The following is a 22,396-nucleotide window of genomic DNA, read 5'->3' as shown; positions in this document are numbered from 1 at the left end:
TTCAAGTCTTCCTAAAATGTATAAAAGCAAGCTACACCCCAACCACCTTGGGCCCACGTCATCAAGACCTCCTGAGGTTATGTCGTGGTGTCCTCCACCCTGGCAAAGTCAACTTCCTCAATTATGGACACCTGGCCTCAGATCCTTCTCGCCTTACAATTCGAAGAGAGAAAACGATGCTTCCTCCCCCTAGTGGCCATCAGGACAATTGCTTCCATTCAAGGCAAAGTTCTTCCAGAGAAATCTCTTCTGGATGTGGCTTACCAGGATCCATACTAGAAAAAAATGCAGAAACAGCGCCTCGGTAATTTCTGACATTAGAGTTCATGGTGACCGGGTGTGGTGGCTCACACCTGTCATCGCAGCACTTTGGGAGGCTGAGGCGGGTGGATCACGAGGTCAGGAGTTCGAGACCATCCTGGCTAACATGGAGAATCCCTGTCTCTACTAAAAATATAAAATTAGCTGGGTGTGCTGGCACATGCCTGTAGTCCCAGCACTTTGGGAGGCCGAGGCAGGCGGATCATGAGGTCAGGAGTTCGAGACCAGCCTGGGCAACATGGTGAAACCCTGTCTCTATTAAAAATACAAAAATTAGCCAGGTGTGGTGGCACATGCCTGTAGTCCCAGCACTTTGGGAGGCCGAGGCAGGCGGATCATGAGGTCAGGAGTTTGAGACCAGCCTGGGCAACATGGTGAAACCCTGTCTCTATTAAAAATACAAAAATTAGCCGGGTGTGGTGGCACATGCCTGTAGTCCCAGCACCTTGGGAGGCCGAGGCGGGCAGATCACGAAGTCAGGAGTTCCAGACCAGCCTGGGCAACATGGTGAAACCCTGTCTCTATTAAAAATACAAAAATTAGCCGGGCATGGTGGTGTGTGCCTGTAATCCCAGCTCTTTGGCAGGCTGAGGCAGGAGAATCGCTTGAAACCGGAAGGCAGAGGTTGCAGTGAGCTGAGATCACACCATTGCACTCCAGCCTGGGCAACAAGAGCGAAACTCTATCTCAAAAATAACAATAATAATAGAGTTCACGGTCCAACAGTGAAGTGTGATAGAAAAGGAAACGGTACAGTCCCATCTTGAAGTCCACTTTTAAATAATAAGGTGCTCATTGGAAGGCAATCGAATCAAAACATAAGGCTGAGATGAGGAACAGCCCAAGCCATACATGTTCAAGGTGTTAAGGAAATAGAATTAAAAAGCAAAATCTCTACCAGGAGTGGTGGCTCATGCCTGTCACCCCAGCACTTTGGGAGGACGAGGCGGGCGGACCACTTGAGGTCAGGTGTTCGAGACCAGCCTGAGCAACATGATCAAACCCCATCTCTACTAAAAAATACAAAATTAGCCAGGCCTGTAATCTCAGCTACTCAGGAGGCTGAGGCAGGAGAATCGCTTGAATCCTGGAGGCAGAGGTTGCAGTGAGCCGAGATCAGCCACGACACCCCAGACTGAGTGACAGGGACTCTGTCTCAAAAAAAAAAAAAAAAAAACAACCAAAGGCCAGGTGCAGTGGCTCACACCTCTCATCCCAGCACATTGGGAGGCCAAGGTGGGCAGATCACTTCAGGTCAGGAGTTCGAGACCAGCCTGACCAACATGGAGAAACCCTGTCTCTACCAAAAAAATACAAAAATTGGCCGGGTACGGTGGTTCACGCCTGTAATTGCAGCACTTTGGGAGGCCAAGGCAGGTGGATCACCTGAGGTCCGGAGTTCGAGACCAGCCTGGCCAACATGGTGAAACCCGTCTCTACTAAAAATACAAAAATTAGCTGGGCGTGGTGGCACATGCCTGTAATCCCAGCTATTAGGGAAGCTGAGGCAGGAGAATCGCTTGAACCTGAGAGGCGGAGGTTGTGGTGAGCTGAGATCACGCCATTGCACTCCAGTCTGGGCAACAAGAGAGAAATTCTATCTCAAAAAAAAAAAATACAAAAATTAGCCAGAGATGATGGTGCACAACTGTAATTCCAGCTACTCGAGAGGCTGAGGCAGGAGAATCGCTTGAACCGTGGAGGCGGAGGTTGCAGTGAGCCGAGATCTTCCAGGGCACTCCAGACTGAGTCACAGGGACTCTGTCTCAAAAAAAAAAAAAAAAAAAAAAAAAAAAAGCAAAAAAATCTCCTCCCGATCCAGGAACTCCTTCCTTAACCCCTCTCCTCAAGGGTAGAAGAAAAAGAAAACCATTTTTCTACAGAACAAGCATTCAATTCAAATGTGATATACACCCCAGGCCATCCGTGAAAGGGATCAGAAACACAGAAAGAAATCTCACCCTTTTATGGGCCGGGTGTGGTGGCTCACGCCTGTCATCCCAGCACTTTGGGAGGCCGAGGCAGGTGGATCACCTGAGGTCGGGAGTTCGAAACCAGCCTGACCAACATGGAGAAACTTTGTGTCCACTAAAAATACAAAAAATTAGCCGGGCATGGTGGTGCGTGCCTGCAATCCCAGCTACTCGGGAGGCTGAGGCAGGAGAATCGCTTGAACCCGGGAGGGAGAGGTATCCGTGAGCCAAGATCGCACCACTGCACTCCAGCCTGGGTAACAAGAGCAGAACTCCGTCTCAAAAAAAAAAAGAAAAGGAAAAAAAGAAAGAAATCTCATCCTTTTACGCAGCAAAGTGGAGACAGCCCTTTCCTTTCGTTTTCTGAAACTAAACAAGGACTCATTTTGACTGGAGGTGTAGGCTTTGCAATTTGGAGTGAGGTGACAGATTAAATTAAGCTCTTCTCCTCTGTGGACCCCGGGGGATGAGGCTTTTTTTCCTCCCCCTTGGGGATCACATTTCAAAGAGATTCCTCCCAGACACTGCAGGAAACATTCTTGAGCTATGGTGCCGCTTTCTTTAAAAGATTTACACACATTTGAAAAAGGCCGACAAAGAACTTGCAGCTACCAGTTTGCTGGGGAGGGGGGCGGGGCGGAAAGTGGGAAAATATCCCTCTCCTCATTTTTCAACAAGAGAAAATGTAAGCCTCCGATTTTTTTTTTTTTTTTTTTTTTGAGACCGAGTTTTGCTCTTGTTGCCCAGGCTGGAGGGCAGTGGCGCGATCTCGGCTCACTGCAACCTCCACCTCCCGGGTTCAAACGATTCTCCTGCCTCAGTCTCCCGAGTAGCTGGAATTACAGGCGCCCACCACCACGCCCAGCTAATTTTGTGCTTTTTAGTAGAGATAGGGTTTCACCATGTTGGCCAGGATGGTCTCGAACTCCTGACCTCAACTGATACACCCCCTTCGGCCTCCCAAAGTGCTGGGATTACAGGCATGAGCCACTGCGCCAGGCCAGCCTCTGAAGTTTTAGTGTATCTGCCCTTGATGGGGGAAAATAATGAAAAAATCCTTTTGGATGTGGGATTGTTTTTAGTGAAAACCAACATTTAAAACAGCAAAGCAGACTGGGCACGGTGGCTCACGCCTGTAATCCCAACACTTTGGGAGGCCGAGGCGGGCGGGTCACGAGGTCAGGAGTTCGAGACCAGCCTGGCCAACATGGTGAAACCCCGTCTCTACTAAAAATACAAAAAAAAAAATTAGCCGGGCGTGGTGGCAGGTGCCTATAACCCCAGCTACTTGGGAGGCCAAGGCAGGAGAATCGCTTGAACCCAGGAGGTGGAGGTTGCAGTGAGCCGAGATCTTGCCTTTGCACTCCAGCCCAGGCGACAGTGCGAGACTCCATCTCAAAAAAAAAAAAAGCGGCAAAGCACTAAAGTTGGGGCGGGGGGTTGCTTTTTCCCCATTCATGGTCACCCCAGCCCTGACTGCCTCTGACAGGTGCAATCTTGGAGCGAAGGAAGCCGGGTTACATCAGCTGCCCCATGCTGCCACCTGCTGGCAGGCACCGGTTCTCGCTCTTCCGGAATGGTCCACATGTTGCCATGGCCCCAAGAGGGTTTCCCTGAAGAACTGGGCTGTCCAGATCTAACGTATGTTTGCAAAGAGCATTCAAGCCCAGGCGGGCTACATGCATGAGCCTGAGCCACTTTAGGGGTGGTCACAGTGCTTATAATTTTTTTAGGGGGTGGAGAATCTATATACTCACAGAGGGATGCCCCTTGACTTACAGTGGGGTTACCTCCCCACAAGTCTATCATGGGTCCACATACCTTAACTTAAAAATGCATTTAGTATCTTGATACACTGATCGTAACGCTGAAAAGTTGTAAATCCAACCACTGTAAGCTGGAAACCGTCTGTATATATGAACGTATACACACGCTTTTATTTTACTTATTTATTTATTTTGAGATGGACTCTCGCTCTGTCGACCAGGCTGGAGTGCAGTGGCGCGATCTCGGCTCACTGCAACCTCTGCCTCCCGGGTTCACGACATTCTCCTGCCTCAGCCTCCCTAGTAGCTGGGGCTACAGGCGCCCGCCTCCATGCCTGGCCAATTTTTTGTATTTTTAGTAGAGATGGGGTTTCACCATGTTAGCCAGGATGGTCTCCATCTCCTGACCTTGTGATCCACCTGCCTCAGCCTCCCAAAGTGCTGGGATTACAGGCGTGAGCCACTGCGCCCAGCCAGATGTCCACATCCTAATCCCCATGTGGTAGACAGAATAATGGCCCCAAAGATGTCCACATCCTAATCCCATGTGGGAGACAGAAAATGGCCCCCAAAGATGTCTACATTGCAATCCCATGTGGTAGAAGGAGTAATGGCCCCCAAAGATGTCCACATCCTAATCCCCACGTGGTGGACAGAATAATGACCCTAAAAATGTTATCAACACCCAAATCCCCATGTGATAGACAGAATAATGGCCCCAAAGATTTATACATCCCACTCCCCATATGGTAGAGGAATAATATCCCCCAAAGCTGTCCACATCCCAGTCTCTAGAACCTGTGAATATGTGACCTCACCTGGAAAAACACACTTGGCAACTGTGGTTTAATTAGTGATCCTAAGAGGGGGGCTGTCCTGGATTCTCTGGGTTGGCCATCTGTCATCAGAAGGCTCCTTATGAGAGGGAGGCAAGAGGATCAAAGTTATAGAAGAGGTGACAATGGAAGCAGAGCCCGGAGTGATGTGGGTGTGGGTTTTGCAAGTGGAGGAAGGGACCATGAGCCAAGGAAAGCAGGCAGCTTCTGGAAGCTGGCAAGGCAAGAAAATGCATTCACCTCCAAAGCCTCTAGAATAAAGCAGTCCTGCCAACACTTTTATGTTAGCCTAGGGAAACTGACTTCAGCCTTCTGTTCTTCATAACTGCAAGACAGTTAATTTGTGTTGTTTTCAGCTACCACATTTGTGATAACTTGTTACAGCAGCTACAGGTCACTAATAGCTACAGGTCACTACCCAGCCAAATACAACCACCCAATGAAACTGTCTGCAAGAAGAAAAAGCAGTGACAAATGCTCACGTTTTTTCTTCTTTTTACGACTTAGAGCATTAGATAGATAGAAAATCAGAAAGGGGAAAGAAAGAAAGAAAGGAAGAAAAGAAAGAAAGGAAAGAAAGGAAGAAAGAAAGAAAGAGAGAAATGAAAGGGAAGAAAGGAAGAAAAAGAAGAAAGAGGTAAAGGAGGAAAGAGAAACAAGGAAAGAAAGGAGAGAACAAAAGAGAGAAGAAAGAAGAAAGAAAGAAAGAAGAAAGAGAAAGAAAGAAAGAAAAAGAAAGAAAGAAAGAAAGAAAGAGTGAATCTGGGCGTGATGGCTCATGCCTGTATTCCCAGCACTTTGGGAGGCTGAGGCAGGTGGATCACGAGGTCAGGAGATTGAGACCATCCTGGCTAACATGGTGAAACCCCGTCTCTACTAAAAATGCAAAAAATTAGCCGGGCATGGTGGCAGGTGCCTGTAGTCCCAGCTACTCAGGAGGCTGAGACAGGAGAAAGGCGTGAACCTGGGAGGCGGAGCTTGCAGTGAGCCGAGATCACACCACTGCACTCCAGCTTGGGAGACAGCGAGACTCTGTTAAAAAAAAAAAAAAAGAAAGAAAGAAAGAAAGAGAGAGAGAAAGAAAGAGGGAAGGAAGGAAGGAAGGGAGGAAGGAAGGAGAGGAAGAAATAGGAGGAAAAAATAGATTTTGGTACATTATGTCCTCAATTAACTCACCAGGACTTGGAATTTAAGGACAAAAGGGAAAAAAAATCCCAAATATATACACCTTCCCACTCCCAGTAACCCCAGCCCAGTGGCATAAGTGACAAAAAACTTTGGGTGGGTGGGAAGGAATTAGCATCTGTCTGAATGCTCTGCCTCAGGAAAGAGAAGCTGGGGTCTCCTCCCAGACAAGAGAAAGAAATCCCAGAAAACCACTCATAAAGATTGAGGGGAGCCTACAAGAAGACAAGAGGAGCTGTCTTTCTCTGCTAAGTTTCTGGTTAGGAAGAAAACTCCCTGTGCCTACTTGACCTGGGGCAAAGAGGGTCCAATGGGGAGTGATGGTATAATGGGCACCTTCTAGAACCCCCTGGCTCCTGAACTTGGAAGAGGAGCCCATGAGGTTCTCATGGTGAATGGAGAGGCAGGACAGTGGTGCTGATGAGGTGGCTCCCAGCCAAGCACAAGGCATGCCCACCCCAGAAATTCTAATGGAGACTCCTTGGCTGTCTCTAAGAGGATCTCTGAATACAAAGGAAGACAGGATGGCAATGAACAATGCCCACCATAGCCATGTCTACCACATGGATGGGGACTTGGAAAACCAGCCAGGCTCCAGCATCAAAAGGGTCAGCCTGGACAGAGACCATTGCCCACCTCCAACCCCTTCAGTAGGGATGGAAGACCCTGCCTGCTCTGGTCCTCCTCTCTGCCCAGAAGGGGAGGCAGTTCCCAAGTCAGACCCTAGCCCTTCCTCCATGGAGCAGCCATCAGGGAGGAATGTCTCAGCACTCACCATGCAGGAAAGTCAGGATCTTAGTTTTAAAAACTGAAGTTTTCTTTAAAGCTGATAGGGGCTTGGGGCTGGGTGCAGTGGCTCACGCCTGTAATCCCAGCACTTTGGGAGGCTGAGGTGGGCAGATCATGAGGTCAGGAGATCGAGACCACAATGAAACCCTGTCTCTACTAAAAATACAAAAAAATTAGCCAGGCGTGGTGGTGGGCACCTGTAGTCCCAGCTACTTGGGAGGCTGAGGCAGGAGAATGGCATGAACCCAAAGGTGGAGCTTGCAGTGACCCGAGATCATGCCACTGCACTCCAGCCTGGGTGACAGAGCGAGATTCTGTCTCAAAAAAAAAAAACACAAAAAAAACCTGATGGGGCTTGGGAACTCCATTCGATCAGATAATTATGGTAATTAATAAAGTTCTGTTACTTGGGTGAAGAAAATTTGACAGGGCATTGATGGGGCAAGAATTAGAAAGATCAAATAGGCCAGGTGCAGTGACTCATGCCAGTAATTCCAGCATTTTGGGAGGCTGAGGCAGGAGACTCACTTGAGACCAGGAGTTTGAGAACAGCCTGGGCAACATAGCAAGATCCTGTCTCTAAAAAAAAAAAAAAAAAAAATCGATTAGTTGAGCCTGTAGTCCCAGCTACTAGGGAGGCTGAGGCAGGAGAATCGCTTGAGCCCATGAGTTGGAGGCTGCAGTGAGCTATCACTGTACCACTGTACTCCAGCCTGGGAAACAGAGCAAGACTTCATCTCTGAAAAATAAATAAGAAGATAAAATCTTCATTCCTTATTAAATAAGCGTTCCCCTATAATTAGTTGCCTGTGCATCACTGAATACCCAGGAAAAGGTCCTATTTGCAGCAGGGCACACAGGGCACTCTGAGGGACTGGACTCCACTACTCTTGGCATGAATAAGGCCTCCATGGACTTGTGGTGAATGCATGTTCTCGGGGATGACCACCAGCTGCAACTCCCAGCAACTGACATAAGCATGTTTTTCGAAAGAGTTCATTTCCAAACTTCAGCTTGAACATTTTGAAATTAGACCGTTTAGTTTATGAGAACTCCTCAACAGAGAATTAAGATGTCCCTGAGTCTCTTTTCTTCCTGTTTAATCTAATTTTAAAAGGTGTCATGCAACTCTGCAAATATTCCCAAATCACACTCTCTGTGAAAGATGCCTTTTAAACAGATTAGACATTGCAAAAAGAAGCAGATTCTCTTGTGCTTTTTCAAACTTAAAATTTGAAATGTGCACACCATTCCTTACCTTTCTTGTAGATGAGTTTGTTAGGACCACCTAACATGGTGAAACCGTGTCTTTACTAAAAATACAAAAAATTAGCTGGGTGTGGTGGCGGGCACCTGTAGTCCCAGCTACTCAGGAGGCTGAGGCAGAATGGCGTGAACCTGGGAGGTGGCGCTTGCAGCGAGCCGAGATCATGCCACTGCACTCCAGCCTGGGCAACAGAGCAAGACTCCATCTCAAAATAATAATAATAATAATAATAATAATAATAATAATAATAATAAACTTGCCCAGTGCTGCAAACTAGAATTCTGAGATCAAGATGTTGCAGAGCTACATTCCCTCCAGAGGCTCTAGGGGAGGACTCTTCCTGCCTCTCCCAGTTCCTGGGGGCTCCAGGTGTCCCTGGGCTTGTGGCCGCATCACTCTAGTCTCTGCCTCTGTCTCCATGTGGCCTTCTCACCTGTGTCTGTGTCCTCATGTGGCATTCTCCCCTCTCTTCTGTGCGTTTCTGTGTCTCTTGTTTTCTTATAAGCACATCAGTCATATTGGATTTAGCGCTCATCCTAATGACCTCATCTGAACTTGATTTCATCAGCAAAGATCTTACTTCTAAATAAGATACCATTCACAGGTTCCAGGGGCCACAGCCTGGACATATCTTTTGGGGAACAGAATTCAACCCACAACAACTTGCTTTGACGATTATTCCATTTTGTTTTGTTTTCTCATCTTTTTAGTTGAAAAAAACAATGTTTAGACTGAGAGTAAAGAAAGTACCAAAATAATCTAAAATGTACACTAGAGGAAAACAAGAAGTAGAAAACCTTGTTGACATTGCGGAAGAGGTCCAGGGAGAAATGGGTATGAGATTGGTAGGAGGGAAATATTTTCCTCTTCTGTAGCATCTGCTGATTTCTCTGTATCCACAGATGTGGCGTGATCTAATCTGGCGGCAAATGCCCGCACTCTCATGGTGGCTACATGAAGAGATTTGAGTACAGATCCATACAGGAGAGACAGATGGGACTGTCTGAGGCAGAGAGAGAGAGACAGAAAGCCTCACCTTTCTCACGGTTGAAATGGCATCACTAATAAGTCACAGAGCTGTGCAAGGCAGCCTGAAAGGAGAACCTCATATTTCATAGACACCTATAGTTGCTACATCCATCACTGGTGCCAAAGTTCTGTTCAGGGTGAAGCTTCTAACAGACACCCCTCAAGGTGAACACTGGAGTCCCACTTTACAGCATGAAGAGGACCAAAACTTTGCTTACAGTCAATATCAAAGCTGAGCTCACACCCCCATCAGCGTGGTCCTCAGTAAAGCCTGGGAAATAATCTACAAAGTAGAAGCAGTCCAACCCTGTCCACAGAAGCCTCCAGTCACTTATCATGTGAACACCAAGAACAAGAAGCCACTGGAGGTACATGTCTTTATTATTATGTCTTGTGTGCTTTGACGTTAGTTCCAGGTCACAAGAAACAGTTATTTCCTGGCTAAAATGGCATCATAAATGGCTCCTGTTTTCTTAAACTGGAAGTCTCTGAAGCCAGCAGAAGAGAGGAGCATGTGGTAGTGGGTGGGGGTCCTCTCCTGCCCTTCCGTCTGCACAAGCATGTTCAGAGAGTAGAGCTGCGTGAGCAGAGGACCTCGCCTGTCTTCATCCAGGAGGCTTTCAATTACCAGAATGCCACCACCTAGAAAGGGAGGGGCACAGTCCACATCACACACAAACACACAGACAGACTGTGCCAAAGTCCCAGTGAACCATAAGGACAGCCAGACCTCAGAGGACAGTCAGGGCACCGTCCCCATCACACACTCAGAGGCTGTGCCCACGTCCTCATCGATCATCAGGATGGGTGAACCTCACAGGACGCTGGGACACTGTCCCCATCACACACATAGAGGCTGTGCCCATGTCCTCATGAACCATCAGGATGGATGGACCTCACAGGAGAACTGGGACACCGTCCCCATCACACACACACAGAGGCTGTGCCCACATCCTCATGGGCCATCAGGATCGATGGACCTCTCAGGACACTGGGACACTGTCCTCATTACACACAGAGGCTGAGCCCACGTCCTCATGAACCATCAGGATGGGTGGACCTCACAGGACACTGGGACACTGTCCCCATTATACACACAGAGGTTGTGCCCATGTCCTCATGGACCATCAGGATGTATGGACCTCACAGGACACTGGGACACTGTCCCCATCACACACACAGAGGCTGTGCCCAAGTCCTCATGAACCATCAAGATGGGTGGACCTCACAGGAGAGCTGGAACACTGTCCTTATCACACACAGAGAGGCTGTGCCCATGTCCTCATGGACCATCAGGATGGGTGGACCTCACAGGAGAACTGGGACACCGTCCCCATCACACACACACACACAGAGGCTGTGCCCACATCCTCATGGGCCATCAGGATGGATGGACCTCACAGGACACTGGGATGCTATCCCCATTACACACAGAGGCTGTGCCCACGTCCTCATGAACCATCGGATGGGTGGACCTCACAGACACTGGGACACTGTCCCCATCACACACAAAGAGGTTGTGCCCACATCCTCATGGACCATCAGGATGGGTGGACCTCACAGGACACTGGGACACTGTCCCCATCACACACATAGAGGCCATGCCCAAGTCCTCATGAACCATCAAGATGGGTGGACCTCACAGGAGAGCTGGAACACTGTCCTTATCACACACAGAGAGGCTGTGTCCATGTACTCATGGACCACCAGGATGGGTGGACCTCACAGGAGAACTGGGACACTGTCCCCATCTCACACAGAGAGGCTGTGTCCATGTACTCATGGACCACCAGGATGGGTGGACCTCACAGGACACTGGGACACTGTCCCCATCACACACACAGAGGCTGTGCCCACATCCTCATGAACCATCAGGATGGGTGGACCTCACAGGAGAACTGGGACACTGTCCCCAACACACACACAGAGGCTGTGCTCACGTCCCCATGAACCATCAGGATGGATGGACCTCACAGGAGAGCTGGGACACTGTCCCCATCACACACAGAGCGGCTGTGTCCACATCCTCATGGACCATCAGGATAGGTGGACCTCACAGGACACTGGGACATGGTCCCTATCACACACACAGAGGCTGTGTCCACATCCTAATGGATCATCAGGATGGGTGGACCTCACAGGAGAGCTGGGACATGGTCCCTATCTCACACACAGAGGCTGTGCCCACATCCTCATGAACCATCAGGAGGGATGGATCTCACAGGACACTGGGACACTGTCCCCATCACACACACAGAGGCTGTGTCCACATCCTCATGGATCATCAGGATGGGTGGACCTCACAGGAGAGCTGGGACATGGTCCCTATCTCACACACAGAGGCTGTGCCCACATCCTCATGAACCATCAGGAGGGATGGACCTCACAGGACACTGGGACACTGTCCCCATCACACACACAGAGGCTGTGTCCACATCCTCATGGATCATCAGGATGGGTGGACCTCACAGGAGAGCTGGGACATGGTCCCTATCTCACACACAGAGGCTGTGCCCACATCCTCATGTGCCATCAGGATGGATGGATCTCACAGGACACTGGGACACTGTCCCCATCACACACACAGAGGCTGTGTCCACATCCTCATGGATCATCAGGATGGGTGGACCTCACAGGAGAGCTGGGACATGGTCCCTATCTCACACACAGAGGCTGTGCCCACATCCTCATGAACCATCAGGAGGGATGGATCTCACAGGACACTGGGACACTGTCCCCATCACACACACAGAGGCTGTGTCCACATCCTCATGGATCATCAGGATGGATGGACCTCACAGGAGAGCTGGGACATGGTCCCTATCTCACACACAGAGGCTGTGCCCACATCCTCATGTGCCATCAGGATGGATGGATCTCACAGGACACTGGGACACTGTCCCCATCATACACAGAGGCTGTGCCCACGTCCTCATGAAGCATCAGGATGGGTGGACCTCACAGGAGAGCTGGGACATGGTCCCTATCTCACACACAGAGGCTGTGCCCACATCCTCATGAACCATCAGGAGGGATGGATCTCACAGGACACTGGGACACTGTCCCCATCACACACACAGAGGCTGTGTCCACATCCTCATGGATCATCAGGATGGGTGGACCTCACAGGAGAGCTGGGACATGGTCCCTATCTCACACACAGAGGCTGTGCCCACATCCTCATGAACCATCAGGAGGGATGGACCTCACAGGACACTGGGACACTGTCCCCATCACACACACAGAGGCTGTGTCCACATCCTCATGGATCATCAGGATGGGTGGACCTCACAGGAGAGCTGGGACATGGTCCCTATCTCACACACAGAGGCTGTGCCCACATCCTCATGTGCCATCAGGATGGATGGATCTCACAGGACACTGGGACACTGTCCCCATCACACACACAGAGGCTGTGTCCACATCCTCATGGATCATCAGGATGGGTGGACCTCACAGGAGAGCTGGGACATGGTCCCTATCTCACACACAGAGGCTGTGCCCACATCCTCATGAACCATCAGGAGGGATGGATCTCACAGGACACTGGGACACTGTCCCCATCACACACACAGAGGCTGTGTCCACATCCTCATGGATCATCAGGATGGATGGACCTCACAGGAGAGCTGGGACATGGTCCCTATCTCACACACAGAGGCTGTGCCCACATCCTCATGTGCCATCAGGATGGATGGATCTCACAGGACACTGGGACACTGTCCCCATCACACACACAGAGGCTGTGTCCACATCCTCATGGATCATCAGGATGGGTGGACCTCACAGGAGAGCTGGGACATGGTCCCTATCTCACACACAGAGGCTGTGCCCACATCCTCATGAACCATCAGGAGGGATGGATCTCACAGGACACTGGGACACTGTCCCCATCACACACACAGAGGCTGTGTCCACATCCTCATGTGCCATCAGGATGGATGGACCTCACAGGACACTGGGACACTGTCCCCATCATACACAGAGGCTGTGCCCACGTCCTCGTGAAGCATCAGGATGGGTGGACCTCACAGGAGAGCTGGGACACAGTCCTTATCTCACACACAGAGGCTGTGCCCACATCCTCATGTGCCATCAGGATGGATGGACCTCACAGGAGAGCTGGGACATGGTCCCTATCTCACACACAGAGGCTGTGCCCACATCCTCATGAACCATCAGGATGGATGGATCTCACAGGACACTGGGACACTGTCCCCATCACACACACAGAGGCTGTGTCCACATCCTCATGGATCATCAGGATGGGTGGACCTCACAGGAGAGCTGGGACATGGTCCCTATCTCACACACAGAGGCTGTGCCCACATCCTCATGAACCATCAGGAGGGATGGATCTCACAGGACACTGGGACACTGTCCCCATCACACACACAGAGGCTGTGTCCACATCCTCATGGATCATCAGGATGGATGGACCTCACAGGAGAGCTGGGACATGGTCCCTATCTCACACACAGAGGCTGTGCCCACATCCTCATGTGCCATCAGGATGGATGGATCTCACAGGACACTGGGACACTGTCCCCATCACACACACAGAGGCTGTGTCCACATCCTCATGGATCATCAGGATGGGTGGACCTCACAGGAGAGCTGGGACATGGTCCCTATCTCACACACAGAGGCTGTGCCCACATCCTCATGAACCATCAGGAGGGATGGATCTCACAGGACACTGGGACACTGTCCCCATCACACACACAGAGGCTGTGTCCACATCCTCATGTGCCATCAGGATGGATGGACCTCACAGGACACTGGGACACTGTCCCCATCATACACAGAGGCTGTGCCCACGTCCTCGTGAAGCATCAGGATGGGTGGACCTCACAGGAGAGCTGGGACATGGTCCCTATCTCACACACAGAGGCTGTGCCCACATCCTCATGTGCCATCAGGATGGATGGACCTCACAGGAGAGCTGGGACATGGTCCCTATCTCACACACAGAGGCTGTGCCCACATCCTCATGAACCATCAGGAGGGATGGATCTCACAGGACACTGGGACACTGTCCCCATCACACACACAGAGGCTGTGTCCACATCCTCATGGATCATCAGGATGGATGGACCTCACAGGAGAGCTGGGACATGGTCCCTATCTCACACACAGAGGCTGTGCCCACATCCTCATGAACCATCAGGAGGGATGGATCTCACAGGACACTGGGACACTGTCCCCATCACACACACAGAGGCTGTGTCCACATCCTCATGGATCATCAGGATGGATGGACCTCACAGGAGAGCTGGGACATGGTCCCTATCTCACACACAGAGGCTGTGCCCACATCCTCATGTGCCATCAGGATGGATGGACCTCACAGGAGAGCTGGGACATGGTCCCTATCTCACACACAGAGGCTGTGCCCACATCCTCATGAACCATCAGGAGGGATGGATCTCACAGGACACTGGGACACTGTCCCCATCACACACACAGAGGCTGTGTCCACATCCTCATGGATCATCAGGATGGATGGACCTCACAGGAGAGCTGGGACATGGTCCCTATCTCACACACAGAGGCTGTGCCCACATCCTCATGTGCCATCAGGATGGATGGACCTCACAGGAGAGCTGGGACATGGTCCCTATCTCACACACAGAGGCTGTGCCCACATCCTCATGAACCATCAGGAGGGATGGATCTCACAGGACACTGGGACACTGTCCCCATCACACACACAGAGGCTGTGTCCACATCCTCATGGATCATCAGGATGGATGGACCTCACAGGAGAGCTGGGACATGGTCCCTATCTCACACACAGAGGCTGTGCCCACATCCTCATGAACCATCAGGAGGGATGGATCTCACAGGACACTGGGACACTGTCCCCATCACACACACAGAGGCTGTGTCCACATCCTCATGGATCATCAGGATGGATGGACCTCACAGGAGAGCTGGGACATGGTCCCTATCTCACACACAGAGGCTGTGCCCACATCCTCATGTGCCATCAGGATGGGTGGACCTCACAGGACACTGGGACACTGTCCCCATCATACACAGAGGCTGTGCCCACGTCCTCGTGAAGCATCAGGAGGGATGGATCTCACAGGACACTGGGACACTGTCCCCATCATACACAGAGGCTGTGCCCACATCCTCATGAACCATCAGGAGGGATGGATCTCACAGGACACTGGGACACTGTCCCCATCACACACACAGAGGCTGTGTCCACATCCTCATGTGCCATCAGGATGGATGGACCTCACAGGACACTGGGACACTGTCCCCATCATACACAGAGGCTGTGCCCACGTCCTCGTGAAGCATCAGGATGGGTGGACCTCACAGGAGAGCTGGGACACAGTCCTTATCTCACACACAGAGGCTGTGCCCACATCCTCATGTGCCATCAGGATGGATGGACCTCACAGGAGAGCTGGGACACTGTCCCCATCACACACAGAGGCTGTGCCCACATCCTCATGTGCCATCAGGATGGATGGACCTCACAGGAGAGCTGGGACACTGTCCCCATCACACACAGAGGCTGTGCCCACATCCTCATGAACCATCAGGATGGGTGGACCTCAGAAGTCAGTGGGGCACTGTCCTCATCACACACACAAATACTAGCCTAATTCTGAAAGAATTTCACCAAAGTGAGGCCACTGAAGTTTCAGAGGGCCTTTCACTTTTTCCATCTTTATGTGGTTTTATCAATAGAATAGAAATTAGGACCCTATTTATTTCAGGTCGTTATCTAAAAGGAAAGCCATATTGGGCAGGATGTCTACCCTTACCTGTGGGATGATTTCAGTGCCTGCCTTCTAAATGTGACTCGTACAATTCTGCCCCGTGTCACAAGCACACGCTGAAATGCAAACCCCACAACTTACCTGGCTTGCAAGTGTGGTAGATCCTCTCCAGCAGGTGTGAGCACTTTCCGTCTGCCCAGTCATGGAGGACCCTGGCCAGGATGTACAGATCAGCTTCCGGAAGAGGGTCTTTGAAGAAATCCCCTGGAACACAGGGCAGGCACACCGAGGTCAGCCTGCAATCCAATCCCATTTGACTAAACCTATTCTGGGCACAAAAGGTCACCTGGATGGGTCACGCCTTTCCCAGGTCTTCCAGGCTAGTCACCTGCAGACCTAGCCTCAGAAAACAAAAAGGCTTAGGAGAAAGATAAGAAAATACTGAGGTCGGGCGCGGTGGCTCACGCCTGTAATCCTAGCACTTTGGGAGGCGGAGGTGGGCAGATCACGAGGTCAGGAGATCAAGACCATCCTGGCTAACACGGTGAAACCCTGTCTCTACTAAAAATACAAAAAAAATTAGCCGGGCGTGATGGCGGGTGCCTGTGGTCCCAGCTACTCGGGAGGCTGAGGCAGGAGAATGGCATGAACCCGGGAGGCGGAGCTTGCAGTGAGCCGAGATTGCACCATTGCACTCCAGCCTGGGCGACAGCGAGACTGTCTCCAAAAAAAAAAAAAGAAAGAAAATACTGAATAAGTGTGGCCTCTTTCTCTCCTCCTCCTTTAAAAAAAAATCATAATATGGTTTCTTTTTTGTTTTTTTGTTTGTTTGTTTGTTTGAGATGGAGTTTTGCTCTTGTTGCCCAGGCTGGAGTGCAAGGGCCTGATCTCAGCTCACCGCAACCTCCACCTCCTGGTTTCAAGCGATTCTCCTGCCTCAGCCTCCTGAGTAGCTGGGATTACAGGCACCCGCCACCACGCCCGGCTAATTTTTGTATTTTTAGTAGAGATGGGATTTCTCCATGTTGCTGAGGCTGGTCTCGAACCCCCAACCTGAGGTGATCCGCCCGCCTCGGCCTCCCAAAGTGCTGGGATTACAGGCATGAGCTGCTGTGCCCGGCCCATGTTCTTTCTTTCTTTCTTTCTGATGTCCCCTGCAAAAGCACTGCTGCTGATATCACCCAAAGCCGTGGATTCCAGGAGTCCCTGGGAATTCGGTCAGCAGCTCCTAACTGATGAGCTGAACTGAACCTACAGTCAAGACCTGTTCTCCAGATTTAAAGTAAATACGCAAGACTGACCCTTTATGTGTGTGCGATGTGAAACGCTCAAGTCTTGTCATAGTTTTCCCGCAAAATGATAAGGTGCCAATCTTGGGAGAGATCTTGGTGAGCTCTGTGCAGTGAAGAGTTAATTCAGGCCAGGCGCGGTGGCTCACGCCTGTAATCCCAGCACTTTGGGAGTCTGAGCGGGGCAGATCACGAGATCAGGAGATTGAGACCATCCTGGCTAACACGGTGAAACCCCATCTCTACCAAAAATACAAAAAAAAAAAAAAAATTAGCTGGGCGTGGTGGTGGGCGCCTGTAGTCCCAGCTACTCGGGAGGCTGAGGCAGGAGAATGGTGTGAACCCGGGAGGTGGAGCTTGCAGTGAGCCGAGATCCCACCACTGCACTCCAGCCTGGGTGACAGAGCGAGACTCCATCTCAAAAAAAAAAAAAAAAGAGTTAACTCAGGCCAGGCGCGGTGGCTCACTCCTGTAATCCCCAGCACTTTGGGAGGCCGAGGCAGGTGGATCACGAGGTCAGGAATTCAAAACCAGCCTGGCCGAGATAGTGAAACCCTGTCTCTACTAAAAATACAAAAAATTAGCCAGGCATGGTGATAGGCACCTGTAAAATCTCAGCTACTTAGGAGGCTGAGGCAAAAAATTGCTTGAACCTGGGAGGCAGAGGTTGCAGTGAGCTTGGATCACGCCACTGCACTCCAGCCTGGGTGACAGAGTGAGACTCCGTCTCAAAAAAACAAGAAAAAAAAAGGGGGGGGGTTAACTCAGCAGGCCTGTGTTGTCCAAACCCTCCACATTCTAAAGAGAGGATTGGCACTTAATTGGCAACTGTAATCTCTAAGAATGTCCTACCTCACAAGGGTATCTTTGTTCAGCTGGGTCTCTGGGCCACCCAGGATAGTTTGTACTAACAGTGGGATTTACTATAGGATCACCTTGGGAACTCTGGAAGAGGTGAAGATTGGAGTCAGCCATGCAGGGTGTCTGCCATGTCTATGTAACCAGTCTCCAAGAAAATCCTTGGATGTCAGGGATTGCGGAGGCTCTCCAGGCTGGCAGTGAGTGGTGTGTGTTGTCAAACCTTGTTGTTGGGGGAATTGATTGCTGTCCACAGCTCCACTGGGAGAAGACAACAAGAAGCTCACATGTGGTTTCTCCCGAACTCTATCCCATGCTCCTTTCTCCTTCGCTGATATGCATCTGTATTCTTTCATTGTTGTAAATATAACTATGTGTATGATGGCTCTTCTGAGCTCGGTGTGTCCTTCTAGTGAATTATTGAACCTGAAGGTAGTCGTGGAGACCCTGGCCACACCCTTCACTGCAGAAATGATATGACTGGCTGGGTGCGGTGGCTCACGCCTGTAATCCCAGCACTTTGGGAGGCCGAGGCGGGTGGATCTCCTGAGGTCAGGAGTTTGAGACCAGCCTGGTCAACACGGTGAAACCCCATCTCTACTAAAAATACAAAAAGAGGCCGGGTGTGATGGTTCACACCTGTAATCCCAGCACTTTGGGAGGCCAAGGTGGGCGGATCACGCGGTCAGGAGATCGAGACCATCCTGGCTAACACAGTGAAACTCCACCTCTACTAAAAATATAAAAGATTAGCCAGGTGTGGTGGTGGGTGCCTGTAGTCCCAGCTACTTGGGAGGCTGAGGCAGGAGAATGGTGTGAACCCGGGAGGCGGAGCTTGAAGGGAGCCGAGATCTGTCACCACACTCCAGCCCGGGCAAGAGAGTGAGACTCCATCTCAAAAAAAAAAAAAAATTAGCTGGATGTGGTGGCGCATGCCTGTAATCCCAGCTACTTGGGAGGCTGAGGCAGGAGAATTGCTTGAACCCAGGAGGTGGAGGTTGCAGTGAGCCGAGACTGCACCACTGCACTCCAGCCTGGGCGACAAAGCAAGACTCTGTATCAATAATAATAATAATAATTGTAAGAAAACTGTATATCTACACCCAGCTTTCCATCCATCATGAATAACAGACAGTGTTGAGTTGAGGGTGTTTCCGGGAGTGAGAGGAAAACCACATCACATCTTCTTCATTTCCCAGAAACATCCAGTCCCCCTGGAGAAGCCGTGAGACACATCTCTGCTTCCCCACGGACACAAACACACCTTCCTGGAAGTCAATCTGTTCTTCCTCCTGGAATGAGAAGTGCTGCTTTGCCGTCCACACCACTTCTGGGATGTCAAAAACGGTGATCTTACATCCAGGGTACAGAGACATGCATTCCTTAGCCAGAGCTCCAGCCCCACCTGGAAGGGGACACAGCCCGTTTGACCCTCAGAGATGAACCTGAGAGACATCGCTCACCCTCCACACACCATGGACTCATGAAGGGTCCAACCCAGGAACTTGGGTCCTTCCGCCATGTCTGGTCTTTTTTTTCTTTTTATTATACTTTAAGTTCTAGGGTACATGTGCAGAACATGCGGTTTTGTTACATAGGTATCCATGTGCCATGGTGGTTTGCTGCACCCATCGACTCGTCATTTACATTAGGTATTTGTCCTAGTGCTCTCCCTCCCCCAGCCTCCCAGCCCCCCAGGCCCTGACAGGCCCCAGTGTGTGACGTTCCCCTCCCTGTGTCCATGTGGTCTCATTGTTCAGTTCCCACCTATGAGTGAGAACACGCGGTGTTTGGTTTTCTGTCCTTGCGATAGTTTGCTGAGAATGATGGTTTCCAGCTTTATCCATGTCCCTGCAAAGGACATGAACGCATCCTTTTATTTATTAATTTATTTATTTTTGAGACAGAGTCTGGCTCTGTCGCCCAGGCTGGAGTGCAGTGGCACGATTTCCGCTCACTGCAAGCTCTGCCTCCCGGGTTCACGCCATTCTCCTGCCTCAGCCTCCCCAGTAGCTGGGACTACAGGCGCCCGCCACCACGCCCAGCTAATTTTTTTATTGTATTTTTAGTAGAGACAGGGTTTCTCCGTGTTAGCCAGGATGGTCTCGATCTCCTGACCTCGTGATCCGCCCATCTCGGCCTCCCAAAGTGCTGGGATGACAGGCGTGAGCCACCGCGCCCGGCCGAACTCATCCTTTTTTATCCACCATGTCTAATCTTGACGGTGACGTGATTGTCTACAGGCCCCTGAGTTCAGGTGGTCTTTCTGGCTGGGCTGACCCAAGCTCCAAACTTCCATATGGCCACGCACTTAACTGTGTGTTCTTGAAGCCGGCGCACCTGTCCAGCCAAGGGCGGCCAACAGCTAAGAGAAGGATGTAATAACAAGCCCCATTCAGAGGCCCCGGTAAGTCGTGCACACAAAATCCATCATGGGCCACAGAGACTTCCAGCCCCATGCTCCTTGTCCATTATTTCTGTAGAAAGTCAGTCTTTTTATTTATTTTGAGATGGAGTCTCACTCTGTCACCAGGCTGGAGTGCAGTGGCGCGATCTCAGCTCACTGCAACCTTCACTTCCCGGGTACAAGCGATTCTCCTGCCTCAGCCTCCTGAGTACCTGGGATGACAGGCACCTACTGTCATGCCTGGCTAAGTTTTTGTATTTTTAGTAGAGACCGGGTTTCACCCCGTTGGTCAGGCTGGTCTCAAACTCCTGACCTTGGGATCCGCCCGCCTCAGCCTCCCAAAGTGCTGGGATTACAGGCATGAGCCACCGCACCCAGCCTTTTTTTGTATTTTTAGTAGAGACGGGATTTCACCATGTTGACCAGGCTGATCTCGAACTCCTGACCTCAGGAGATCCACCCGCCTCGGCCTCCCAAAGTGCTGGGATTACAGGAGTGAGCCACCGCGCCCGGTCTGCTTGTTCATTATTTTCTTCCCAAGCTGCTCCCCAGGCAGGGGGATCCTGAACTCTATCTATCCCTGCTCACAGTGACTAAAAGTAATAAACTTGGAGAAGCTCCTCACTCTGCAAAGGGCCTTCTACCAGCCAGGAGCTGTTCTGAGTGATCCACTGAGTCACAGGAGGGAGATAGGGTGGGTGGATCACGGCCTGGAGTGTGACAGCCCTATGGGGTAGAGGAGGTGCTTAAGGGGTGAGCTCGGGGTTGGGGATTTGTATTCAAAAAGCAAGCTCAGCCTGGGTGCAGTGGCTCATGCCTGTAATCCCATCACTCACTCTGGGAGGCCGAGGCAGGAGGACTGCATGAAACTGGAGTCTGAGACCAGCCAGGGCAACATAGGGAGACTCGTTCTCTACAAAAAAGTTTGAAAATGAGCTCGGCGCAGTGGCTCATGCCTGCAATCCTGGCACTTTGGGAGGCGGAGGCGGGTGGATCACGAGGTCAGGAGATCGAGACCATCCTGGCTAACACGGAGAAACCCCGTCTCTACTAAAAAAAAAAACAAAAAATTAGCTGGGCGTGGTGGCGGGCGCCTGTAGTCCCAGCTACTCAGGAGGCTGAGGCAGGAGAATGGCGTGAACCCGGGAGGCAGAGCTTGCAGTGAGTGGAGATTGCACCACTGCATTCCAGCCTGGGTGACAGAGCAAGACTCCATCTCAAAAAAAAAAATAAATAAATAAATACAAGTAAATAAATAAATAAATAAATAAATAAAACAAGCTCAGCTCAGCCTGGGTGTGGTGGCGGGCGCCTGTAATCCCAGCACTTTTGGAGGCTGAGGCAGCAGGATTGCATGAGCCCAGGAGTCTGAGACCAGCCAGGGCAACGTAGAGAGACTCAGGCTCTACAGAAAAGTTTTTAAATGAGCTAGGTGTGGCGGCAGTCATCTGTAATCCCAGCTACTTGGGAGGCTGAGGTGGGAGGACCACTTGAGCCTGAGAGTCTGAGGCTGCAGTGAGCTATCAACACACCATTGCACTCGAGCCTGGGTGACAAACAGGACCCTCTCTCAAAAACTAAAAACAAGACCGAGGCGGGTGGATCATGAGGTCAGGAGTTCGAGACCAGCCTGGCCAACATGGCAAAACCCCGTCTCTATTAAAAAATACAAAAATTAGCCTGACAGAGTGGTGCGCACCCATAATCCCACCTACTCGGGAGGCTGGGGCAGGAGAATCGCTTGAACCCAGGAGGCGGAGGTTGCGGTGAGCCGAGATCGTGCCACTGCACTCCAGCCTGGGCGACAGAGCGACACTTCATCTCAAAAAAAAAAAAAAAAAAAAAAATTAGCCTGGTGTGGTGGCAGGTGCCTGTAATCCCAGCTACTCGGGAGGCTGAGGCAGGAGAATCGCTTGAACCCAGGAGGCAAAGG

The 22,396-nt window shown here is 50.9% G+C and overlaps 1 protein-coding gene across 3 annotated transcripts in view, besides 1 other annotated feature; it reads right to left on the bottom strand.

Moving 5' to 3' along the window:
- Positions 2,542-3,061: an enhancer, noted in NCBI's record as "OCT4-NANOG-H3K27ac hESC enhancer chrY:1718443-1718962 (GRCh37/hg19 assembly coordinates)". NCBI's record gives its function as "activates a minimal SCP1, AML or CMV promoter by ChIP-STARR-seq in primed H9 embryonic stem cells {active_cell/tissue: H9 hESC(primed)}" and the evidence as "EXISTENCE:reporter gene assay evidence [ECO:0000049][PMID:30033119]".
- The window catches only part of ASMT (acetylserotonin O-methyltransferase), a 28,023-nt gene continuing 15,156 nt past the window's right edge, over positions 9,530-22,396 (bottom strand). The window contains exons 6-9 of one of the 3 annotated variants that reach the window (NM_001171038.2): positions 19,824-19,907; positions 19,321-19,461; positions 16,051-16,173; positions 9,530-9,808 (exon numbers count right to left, since the gene is read on the bottom strand). In NM_001171038.2, coding sequence (NP_001164509.1) covers positions 9,597-9,808; positions 16,051-16,173; positions 19,321-19,461; positions 19,824-19,907 — 560 coding nt within the window. In that variant the 3' untranslated portion in view covers positions 9,530-9,596. The remainder of the gene's footprint in view (positions 9,809-16,050; positions 16,174-19,320; positions 19,462-19,823; positions 19,908-22,396) is intronic. The other 2 variants (NM_001416525.1, NM_001171039.1) reach the window with 2 other exon arrangements.

Source organism: Homo sapiens, chromosome Y (assembly GCF_000001405.40).
Source record: "Homo sapiens chromosome Y, GRCh38.p14 Primary Assembly".
Classification (NCBI taxonomy): Eukaryota; Metazoa; Chordata; class Mammalia; order Primates; family Hominidae; genus Homo; species Homo sapiens.
The sequence above is the reverse complement of the archived record's forward strand: the minus strand, read 5'-3'. Positions and strand labels throughout refer to the sequence as shown.